The sequence below is a fragment of the Homo sapiens genome, chromosome 5, assembly GCF_000001405.40.
Source record: "Homo sapiens chromosome 5, GRCh38.p14 Primary Assembly".
In the NCBI taxonomy this organism is placed as follows: domain Eukaryota; kingdom Metazoa; phylum Chordata; class Mammalia; order Primates; family Hominidae; genus Homo; species Homo sapiens.
In genome coordinates, this window is record NC_000005.10 from 171,458,277 (window position 1) to 171,469,834 (window position 11,558).

The 11,558-nt window shown below is 50.6% G+C and overlaps 1 annotated feature.

The window, feature by feature from the left end:
* Window positions 2,874-3,847: an enhancer, noted in NCBI's record as "H3K4me1 hESC enhancer chr5:170888154-170889127 (GRCh37/hg19 assembly coordinates)". NCBI's record gives its function as "activates a minimal SCP1, AML or CMV promoter by ChIP-STARR-seq in primed H9 embryonic stem cells {active_cell/tissue: H9 hESC(primed)}" and the evidence as "EXISTENCE:reporter gene assay evidence [ECO:0000049][PMID:30033119]".

An 11,558-nucleotide genomic window follows, 5' to 3' on the forward strand; every position in this document is an offset into this window, starting at 1 on the left:
GTCTGTCCTCAAACTCCCATGGGCTGGAGCTTGAGGAATCTGGTGATGTTACCTTCCAAGTACCCATCCTTCAACGTCTTATTTCCCAGGGCCTGTCCCAGGATGTCAGGGAGAGGCCAGGTTAATCTCGGGATTGAGGCAGATTGAAGATTATTGAGTCCTCTGCCCTGAGATTTGGGCTGTGTGAGCAGTCAGGCTTCAAGTGGGGGACTGTTTCTGTTTCTTCCCCTCCCCATGGCCTCCAACCTAAGTGTCTTTGTGGGGCAAACCATGTATTCCTGGTGGGGCAGGAGGTAGCCTGAGGCAGAAGGCACCTCTGCTGCTGGGGTCCTGTGGCTGTCACCTGCCTCCCTTGAAAACTACCCCCCAGGGCTGGTCAGGAGAGGTCCCCATGAGACCCTAAGGAGAGGTGGGGGCAGAGGCAGTGGGGAGGGGTAGGAGTGCCTTCTCTGCAGGTTCCTGGCTGGAGTTGGCATTCCACTTCTTCCGAGCGCAGCTCTTGGTCTTGCCCTCGCTCTCTGCGTCACGAAACCTCATCCCTTCACCCCTGGGCCCTGTCCCGCATGTCTGTGGCTTGCCCTCCTGTCCATCACAGCACATTTCTGTAGAGTTTTGTGAAGCTCTTTAGCTGCGCATCTCATGGTGTTCTCAGGATGCCTTTATTATCCCCATTTTATAGATGAGGAGACTGAGTCTCAATAACAGTAAGCCACTTCTCCAAGATCACAGAATAAGAAAGTGGTTGAACCTGTGTCCAAATCTTAGCTTCTCCAGGATGGCGACGGCTGCCACTTGGAGAGTGCCTACCATTGTCGGAACCCCTGCTGGAGGCTTCAGTAGGGGCGCTCCCTGGGTATCCATCAGACAACTCTGTGTGGGAGGTGGGTATCCCTGCGTGGGAGGTGGGCACCCCTGCTTCCACACTGGACAGAGACTCCAAGAGAGTATCAGCTTGCCCTAGGCTTCACAGTGAACAGACGACAGCCTGAGACTCTGGCTGATAATCACAGTGATTCAGGTTGTCATCGATGGAGCACCTGTTACATGTCAGCTGTGTTCACTCTTCCTGTATTATTTTATTTAATGGAAACAATAACCCTAAGAGATGGGTGTTGCTAGAAAATTGTGGAGCCAGAATGCAATCAGTCATCTGCTCATTCATCCAAAAAGTATTTATTGACTTTACTCTGTGCCTGACACTGTCCCAGGGGCTGGAGATACAGCAGTGAACTGCACAGAGCCCTGGTCCTCATGGGGCTTCCATTCTATTAGGGAAGGTCAGTAATAAAACAGATACAAAATATAACAGCAGGGAGTGGCAAATCATAAGAAAAAAATAAAACATGGTGAGGGGATAGAGGATGCTATTTTAGATGGGGTAGTCAGGGGAGGCTTCTGGATGGGGGATTTTTGAGCAGGAAGGAAGCAAGGGAAGAGTGTTCCACAGAGAGTACCACAGCCTGGAGGGCTGTCGTGGGATGAAGAGGGGCCAGAACGGCTGGAACAGAGTGGGTGGGGTTGGGGGGAGAATTGGAGGGGGCAGATCACGACCTGAGCTTTTATTTGGAGTGAGATGAGGAGCCACATGTGATGTGCCTTACACCTAGAGGGATTGCTCTGGTTACCGTGTGGAGGATGGGCAGCACTTAACCCGGCTGCCCAGCGCCAGAGCCTGGGCTCTCACTCTGACCCGATGCTGCCTCCTGCCCCTGGCTTTGATGCACCCCTGGCCCCAGCACAGCCCAGGCCTCTGTCCTGGGTCTGCAGGCTGCTTGCACCTCCTGTACCAAAGACCTTGCCTTTGCTCCATCCCTGGGGGCAGTGGGACCAGCGTTCTTTCCTTGTCCTGCCTTTTAGCGTCCCTGATGTTGGAAGATGTGGGCCCAGCTTTTGTTTCCTCTAGACAGAACTTTCTGGACATTTCCTGAGCTATGAGTATGTTGATGATAAGCACAGTGGACTGGGGGGCACTTTTCCCAGCCACAGATGCTGTCTCCTTAGGCACGCTTGCTTGAGGCAGGAGGCTAGTGAGGGTTGCCATAGTCCAGCTGGGTAGGAACCCCAGGGATAACAGCTATGACTTTTGGAACCTTACTGTGTACCAAGCACAGTCCTACTGGGCCCACCCCACCAGCCTTTGAGGTGGGCATTTTTAACCCCACTTTATAGAGCAGGCTCAGATAGGTAGAGTCACTTGCTTGAAGTCAACACAGCTAATAAATAGAGGAGCTGGGGTTTGAACCCAGGCCCTTCTGTCTCTAGAGCTATAACTTGACCCAAGTCCAGATGCTTGGAGCTCTTGGCATCTGTCCAGGTTCCAGTCTTTTTCCCTTGACCCCCTGATTCTGCCTTGGCATCCATCATTTCCCAACCCACCAGAGGGCAGAGGCAGGCGTAGACCACATTCCCAGGTGCCGATGGCAGCCCTTCTCCCACCCTCCACACCCTCCCCACGACGTTTCTGTCATAGGGGCCGCAGAGACATGGGACCTGGAGCACTTCAGTTTGCCTTTGACGTGGCCACTTTGCCAGCTGCGTGACCTTGGGTAAGGCACGTCTTTTCTGTGAGTGGCGTCTCTCATCATCCCAGTCGATTCTACCTTGTGGGGCTAATGTAATGCTCCAGAGAGAGCAGAGCAAACACCTGGGGACGATTCCTGCCCCAGAAGAGGGGAGAGGACCCAGGCAGGGGGGTTTATCCTCTCATGCTTCTCTCTCCATCTCATTGCTTTAGAGAGGAGGGAGCCGAGACCCAGAGAGAGGAAGCGACTTCCTCCAGGTCCTCCAGTGAGTTAATGATAGAGCCCATTAGATGACCAATTCATAGGAATGACAGTGGGTGGGGTGAGTCGGGGGCCCCTTCAGCGGCCAGCCAGGCCCTTCTTCTCATCCTTCCCAAATTTGCAGCAGAGGGCAGTGGGGAAGGGGAGGGCAGTGGGGAGGGGGAGGGCAGTGGGGAGGGGGAGGGCAGTGGGGAGGGGCAGGGCAGTGGGGAGGGGCCCTCACTATCCGCCCCACCAGCCCTATAATGGTGCAGGCTGTGAGTGAAGATTGAGCCTTGGCAGGCAGGCAAGTATGGCAGGAAGGGCCCCTGAATCTGGGACAGAAGTGGATTTGGGGACAAGGGCGCTCTCTCCACCTCCCCGACCCTGTGCATTGTTTGCAAGGGTGCTCTCCCCACCTCCCCCATCCTGTGCATTGTTTGGACCCAGAGTCTTCTCTCCCTGTGGCCACCCCTTGCCCTCCTGCTCTATGCCCCCCTTGATGTAAACACCTCCAGCTTCTAGTGCACGGTTCCTGGGGCAGAGTAAGCTCTTGCTCTCTTTTCTTTTCTTTCTTTCTTTCTTTCTTTCTTTTTTTTTTTTTTTTTTTAGACAGGGTCTCACTCTGTTGCCAAGCTGGAGTGCAGTGGCATGATCTCGGCTCACTGCAACCTCCGCCTCCCGGGTTCAAGCGATTCTCCAGCCTCAGCCTCCCGAGTAGCTGGGACTACAGGTGGCCGCCATCACGCCGGGCTAATTTTTGTATTTTTAGTAAACACGGGGTTTCATCATGTTGGCCAGGATGGCCTCCATCTCTTGACCTCATGATCCGCCTGCCTCGGCCTCCCAAAGTGCTGGGATTACAGGCGTGAGCCACCGCACTTGGCCAGCTCTTGCTCTCTTAGCTGTTACTCTGATCTCATTTGATTGACACAAGAACCTGGCAAGATAGATGTTAGGATGTGCATTTTGTAGATGGGAAAACTGAGGCCTGTAGAGGAATGTAATTGGCCCAGGTTCCACGGTAGAAAGTGACTGGGCTGAGATTTGAACCCACATCTCCCTGTTTCCACTCTTCACCTTCCCAGCATTCCTCTCCATCCCTGCCTTTGCTGGGGGTGGAGTGGGGAATAAAGTTCCAAAGCTGAGGGCCAGAGAAGCAAGTGGCCCTACCAGGGTGGGTGGGGAGGGCCTTTCCCATGACAAGTGGGAGAGGCTGTGTTTTGGGAGTGTACCACCAACGCCAGCCAGGTGAGCCGCAGGTGTGGGGAGGCACAGCCCCAGGCTGTCTGAAGGACATTGAGGGGATGCCCTCCTGCCTGCCTGCCCAGCTGGAGCCTAACAAGGCGAGGCTGGGATGGCCCGGGGCTTGAAAGCCCCATAAATGGGGCAGAACCCTCCCTCCCCAGCAGCAGGATTGGGGCTTCCAAAGAACAATAGTGAATTAGGTGCTAAAGATGTGAAGGCTGCTCCCCAACCATGCAATTAGCTTGCAGGTCTGTTACAAACATTAGGCCGCCGAACTGGGGACCAGATGGCGGCAAGGCTCGCCCTTGCTGTCCCAAGACGGCCTGGCTTCCTGGCTGAGGTTTCCAGCTCTGGCAAGGAGGGAAGGCGGCAGGTAGCCCCGGTGTGTGACCCCCTGCAGAGCAAGCAGCCATTAATCAGGCATTCCCTCCCCTCCCTGGGGCAGCTTCACGACCCAATTAGCACTTGCTAGAATTTCTGCCCTGCTCTTCCAGTCTCCCAGGCTGACCGCCCTGCAGCTGCAGGCCCCGTGTCACCCACCCTCTGGGGTGGGTTGGAGGTGCAGCCGATTTAAAAAGACTGTCACAGACCTCAGTCTCTTTCCAGTACCAGCTTTATGGGAGCCTTCCCCCAATTCTCTCACTTAATTCCTACCACAATCCTCCTGGATACTTATTTTTAATCTGCTCCCTACCGATGAGGAAACTGGCCAACAGAAGGGAGGTCACTTGCTTAAGGCCATCTGTGTGACTCCCCAAATCCTGCGCATGACTGTTATGACACAGAACAGCGCCCCCCCGGCAACCCCCATGCCCAAGAGTTGGTGTGACTCCTGTCTTACATAAGGACGGAAGACCAGAGAGGCAAGGTGACTTGCTCAAGGTCACAGTTATTAAGTGGTGAAGCTGGGATTTGAAACCATGTCTATCAGGTTCTAGAACCTGCTTCTCCTCCCCTTCTGCACCTTCACTCCTGTTCCTGTGCTATTCGGGATTCTTTTAGCTGCAAGTGACAGAAACACATGAAAACCGACTTAAACCAATAAGGACATTTATTGGTTTATGTAACAGAAAAGTGCACAGCCCTCTGGCTTCAGGCAAAGCTGGATCCAGGTGCTCACTCTCCTCTCCCTGCTTTCTGCTGTGTTGGCTTTATCCTCAGGAAGGCTTTCCCTGCTGTTCTAGGCTTACTAATAACTTCGGCAGAAAGAGAACTAGTAACTTAAGAACATATCTTTCCCAGAGGCTCCAGTAAAAGTCCCTGGGTGGACTCTGATTGGCTTAACCCTCTCTCTTGCGTACTCTTACATCAGTCACTGTGATCAGGGAGACAGAATAGTTTAATTGTCCAGGCTTAGGACAGGGGCCAGTCCCTGGAGCTGGGCTGGGGAAGGGATAAGCCAATTCTACCCAAGTATAAGGTCTGAAAGTGGGAGGGGGTGGCTTCCCCAAGAATGTGGAAGTGTTGTTACCAGAAGAAGGGGTGATCACAAAAGAAAGAGAGGTCTATACCAGAGGTTCTCACTCAACTGTGCCTCAGTTCCCGGGAGAGCTCGTGAACACACAGATTGCTGGGGCCCACCCCTACAGCTTCTGCTTAAATATCTAGGGTAGACCCGAGAATTTGCATTTCTAGCAAGTTCTCAAGAGATACTGATGTTGCTGGTCTGGGGCCACAGTTTGAGAACCACTGTTCTGCCCCCTTCTTTTACACTCATGCTCCCGCCTTCTTTGTACAGTATGGCCATACAAGGATGTGTTCTAGTCCCAGGCCAAGAGGCACATGGATACTGTCATCTTAGGGAATCCATGTACATATTCCAAGAGCTCTTTCCTAACCCATCTGCTGCAGAACGCCCCTCTCACTGGCTGTGTTTCCTCTTCCCACCCACTTTGCACAATACTCTTCTGCACTTTACAACGGAAAGGTACACCTCTTACTGGCCCCGCATTTCATTGTGTGTGTTCCCTGGTGTGTAGAAAACTCCAGACTATGGAATACAGGGCCCATCTCAGTGTGGGGAACTCCCTTGAATCCTGGTGCCATGCATTCGTGGTAAGGGCTCAGGGCAAAATGCGGCCCCTGTTTTGGCCCATGTTGAGCTACTCTGAATTCAGGTATATTGTACAGTCAGATGGGGGGAATATTGACAGTTTTTCTTGAGTTACCGCGTGTCTTTCATTCCCCAAATATTGTCCTGGAATGCATTCAGTATTCACTACTAAGGGAGGGTATTATGATAGCATGAGAAATATTGGCAGTAGGGATAACTCATTCAGGGACACAAACTCATGGCTACATTCCATGCTGTCTCTCTCTCTCTGACTCTCTCATCCATCCGTCGTCTGTCAATCTATTTGTCCATCCACCTACCTACCTACCTACCTACCTACCTGCTGACCAACAAAATCATCTCAGAATCACAATGTTTAAGATTTGGAGACAGCATGCTGAGAACGAGGAATGCCCGGAGCATTTTCTTATCCATCCTTCCTTGCTTTATATCTCTGTATTTTGCCCAATTCTAAAGAGAAGGAGGTAAAATGTTCCAAACTTGCTGTCTACTGGTCATTTTTGAGTAAATATGATCCTGTCTTGGCGGGAAGTTTGCGTTTTTTATTTTTTATTTTTTTTTTGACGGAGCCTTGCTCTATCGCCCAGGCTGGAGTGCAGTGGTGCAGTGGTGCAATCTCTGTTCAATGCGTCCTCTGCCTCCCCGGTTCAAGCGATTCCCCCTCCTTAGCTTCTCAAGTAGCTGGGTTGACAGGCATGCATCAGTGCACTCGGCTAATTTTTGTATTTTTAGTACAGGCAGGGTTTTGCCATGTTGGTCAGGCTGGTCTGAAACTCCTGACCTCAGGTGACCTGCGGCCTCGACCTCCCAAAGTGCTGGGATTATAGACATGAGCCACCGCGCCCAGCTGAAGTTTGTGTTTTATATTATCTTGAACATTTATTCTGACTTGTGGGGGGAATATTTTCACTTAACTTGTGCTAAAAGATTACTGGCTACTATAAATCCACATTCACTTTTTTAAAACTTGGGTGTGAATCTTATTTTCTCTCACTCATCACTGCTCATGTATTCATTCTCCATGAATATTTATTTGATTTAGATGAACTTAATTGAGTATGAGATGGATTCTACTAAAAATATATGATTTTCAAAATTATTTAAGGCAGTTCATGAGTAAAAAATTGTGAAGAGCCCAGTCTAGTCTAATCCGTGATTCGATGGTCTACCTGCACGCATAGACGCACAGCATCAACCTAGAAAACATTCTCCTGGGCCCTGGGAGCACAGAGGTGCCTCAGTACAGTCCCTCGTGGGTATGTCAAGAGGTAGCCCTTGGGGAGCTCACAGCTGAGTGCTGGAAACAGGTGGACTTTGAGGCAGCAAGAGAGGAAGGTGGAGAGGCAGAACCTAAAGCTTTGGATGCACAGAGGAGGTGATGACTACCTGGGAAGGGGGTGAGAGCTGGGGGTCAGGAGACTTAGGGAGGCTGAATAGAGCTTTAACTGCAAAGAGAAAGAGGGAAGAGCAGCCCAGGCCAAAGGAACAGCACGTGTAAAGGTGGAGAGAAGTAAAGTTGTATGAAGGTTTACAGAAATGTGGCATGACAGGAGCTTGGGGGTGCAAGTGGAGCTTGGGAGCTGGAGGCAGGAAGGGAAGGAGATCAGATGGTCAAGGCTGTTGTGTTCCTAGTCCTCATTTGTGTGCTCACACTCTGACGCTCATCCAGATGCTTACACCAACTCAGGCCTCCCCTCTCTTCCCTCCTTCCTTCCTACTTGCAACATTTTCTTTTGTTTTTTGAGTTGGAGTTTCGCTCTTGTCGCCCAGGCTGGAGTGCAATGGCGCGACCTTGGCTCACCACAACCTCTGCCTCCCGGGTTCAAGCGATTCTCCTGCCTCAGCCTCCGGAGTAGCTGGGATTATAGGCATGCGCCACCACACCCAGCTAATTTTATATTTTTAGTAGAGACAGGGTTTCTCCATGTTGGTCAGGCTGGTCTCGAACTCCTGATCTCAGGTGATCCACCCGCCTTGGCCTCCCAAAGTGCTGGGATTACAGGCATGAGCCACCGCACCTGGCTACAACATTTTCTTTCTTTTCTTTTCTTATTTTTTTTTGAGATGGAGTCTTCCTCTGTCACCCAGGCTGGAGTGCAGTGGCACCATCTTGGCTCACTGCAACCTCCATCTCCCGGGTTCAAGCGATTCTCCTGCCTCAGCCTCCCAAGTAGCTGGGCTTACAGGCGCATGTCACCACATCCAGCTAATTTTTGTATTTTTAGTAGAGACAGGGTTTCACCGTGTTGGTGAGGCTGGTCTTGAACTCCTGACCTCAGGTAATCCGCCCATCTCGGCCTCCCAAAGTGCTGGGATTACAGGCGTGAGCCACCATGCCTGGCCTACTTGAACATTTTCTAAGTGCCTATTCTATACTGGGTTCCTTGGAGATAAAAAAATGAATCTGGTACAATCTCTGCTCCTACAAGTCTTGTTGAGGAGACAGTTAACAATGACCATAACTTGGGATAAGTGCAACAATGAGCAAGGAGGGTACAAAGGGGGAGTCAGAGAAGGCTTCCTGGAGGAAGAGACATCAAAGACCTGAAGAATGAGGCAGAATTGGCAGGAATAAAATGGGGATGAGACTTTCTAGGGAGCAGCAGCAATGTGTGCAAATACGTGGTTAAGAGAGAACATAGCCCGTGGGAAATAAACAGAAAAGGAACTGGGGAGGACTTATCATTTCGATGTAGGAGTGGCAACTTTGTTAGAAAAAAATAAAGGGTTGGGGAAATGTTACCGGGGAATTGCTTTGGGTTTCTGGTCTACTGGGGATGCTCGGGCCAGGGCTGATGGAGATGTGTGGTGGTGGGTACCACAGCTTCCTTGAGCATCTCGTGGGCTGCCTCAGACTCAGGCGTGGCTCAGTTCCACAGCACCTTGGTTCTGATGATCTATGCAGCCACTAAGGACTGTGGCCCGGATCAGTGGTTCTCACCTGGGGCGATTTTGTTCCCCAGGGCCATTTCGGCAGTGCGTGGAGACAACGTTGGTTGTCTCCAACTCCCCAGTTGTCACAACTGGGAGCCGGGGGACTGCCACTGGCATCTAGTGGAGAGAGTCCAGGGACGCTGCCGAACATCCTGCAGGGCACAGCGCAGCCTCAACCACAAAGAATTGTCTGGCCCCAGATACCAATTGTGCCAAAGCTGAAAAACTTTGGCCTAAATCCATTATTACAAGAGGATGGCAAAATGGCAATTTTCAAATTCTATTATCTCTTCACTGTCTATTTACTGGGATTGTCCTAAAAACAAGAACTTTCTGCCAGGCGCAGTGGCTCACGCCTGTAATCCCAGCACTTTGGGAGGCCGAGGAGGGCGGATCACGAGGTCAGGAGATCGAGACCATCCTGGCTCACACGGTGAAACCCCATCTCTACTAAAAATACAAAAAATTAGCTGGGCGTGGTGGTGGGCACCTGTAGTCCCAGCTACTCGGGAGGTTGAGGCAGGAGAATGGCTTGAACCCAGAAGGCAGAGCTTGCAGTGAGCCGAGATTGTGCCACTGCACTCCAGCCTGGGCGACAGAGTGAGATTCCGTCTCAAAAAAAAAAAAAAAAAAAAAAAAAACAAGATCTTTCTTTCCATCAACTATTCAGTTACCCCAAGATACAATTCATACAGGAAAGACAGGACAAATGCCTGATTCTTTCTCTTTATTTACCAGTTTCAGAACATTAGTTAACTAGCACTCTCCAAAGATGAGGAGTGCATTAAGTCTCACTATGAACTTTTGGATTTTAAACTTATTTTTATTTTTTTGAGACTGAATCTTGCTCTGTCGCCCAGCCTGGAGTGCAGTGTCATGATCTCCGCTCACTGAAACTTCCACCTCCCAGGTTCAAGCGATTCTTGTGCCTCAGCCTCCCGAGTAGCTGGGATACAGGTGCCTGCCACCATAGTCAGCTAATTTTTGTATTTTTAGTAGAGACGGGGTTTCCTCATGTTGGCCAGGCTGGTCTTGAACTCCTGACCTCAAGTGATCCACCTGTCTCGGCTTCCCAAAGTGCTGGGATTACAGACATGAGCGAACGCATCCAGCCAGATTTTTAAACTTATTTAATGGGTTTCAATCCATAGTAGTTACTGTTCTTTTTGAAGGTCAAATTTTTCAATTTTTGGCCAGTGAGGACTCCTGCCAGTGGCTCTTGTGTCTTTTTATCATCATTGCCTTTGTGCTTTGATGGCTTCTTTGCTTTCTGGTGTGAAAAGACGTCCCACGTTGTCTCAATGTGTTGTACATTTCCCAACCCTGACCTGGGATCAGCTCTTTCTTCTAGGGCCCTGGTTTAATTTAGTGGAGAGTGTCAAGACTTAGTGAGGGTTAAAAAGAGACTCAAAGAAACCCACAAAGCTGGAACCTAGCTTTGCACAGTGCCTAGAACACAGTGCTCATGTAGGCCGGGCGTGGTGGCTCACGCCTGTAATCCCAGCACTTTGGGAGGCCGAGGCGGGCAGTTCATGAGGTCAGGGGTTTGAGATCAGCCTGGCCAACATAGTGAAACTCCATCTCTTCTAAAAATACAAAAATTATCTGGGTGTGATGGTGGGTGCCTGTAATTCCAGCTACTTGGGAGGCTGAGGCAGGATAATTGCTTGAACCCGGGAGGTGGAGGTTGCAGTGAGTGGAGGTTGCAATGAGCCGAGGTTGCAGTGAGCCGAGATTGTGCCACTGCACTCCAGCCCAGGCGACAGTGCGAGACAACACCTCAAAAAAAAAAAAAAAGAAAAAAAAGAAAGAAAGAGCATAGTGCTCCTGTAATATTGTGATTATTTCAAGGACAGAAGTCAACTCATCCAAGTTGCTTCAACTCCCTTCTTGTCGCCGATCTCTAATGCATTAGGACACTTGCTTTCTGAACCTCCAGACAGTCTGAGGAGGGGCCCAAGTGTAATGAGGGTTCAGGTTAGCAAGGAGAGAGGTGAAAATAGTGGCTTTGTCGGGCAGAGGGAACTGCCAGCCCACAGAGCACGTCTATTAGAAATGAAGCCAGGGCAAAGCCAGCAGAGGAGAGGAGCAATTAGCTAATTCAGGAGTCGAGGCCCTGCTTTTATTTCCACTGACAATTTTAATCCTGTAATAACCTTTGACCTAAGCCCCGGGGCAATTAGTGCCTGCAAGTGAAGTGGTGGTGGGTTTGAACTTCTGCCTTCCTCCCCAGGCTGAGTCAATACCTCTGTATTCTATTACATGTAATTGAGGTAAAAGGGTTTATTTAAGCTAACAAATGATTATTTCCCACAATAGAATCTCCATCCCGGTTAGTGAATTGGCTCTTCCAGGCATTCCCTGTTTTGTCTGCAGCCAAAGCCTGTATTTTATTGACTGCTTTGTCCTCTTCTCTCTTTCCTCCTGGCTTCTCTCTCCCTCCTCCTCCCCCCTCCCTTGCCCTCACAATTCATTTCAGCAAATTCAATGGAACTAGCATTCCCCGCCCCCCCTGCCCCTCCCCACCCCCGGCACCTACC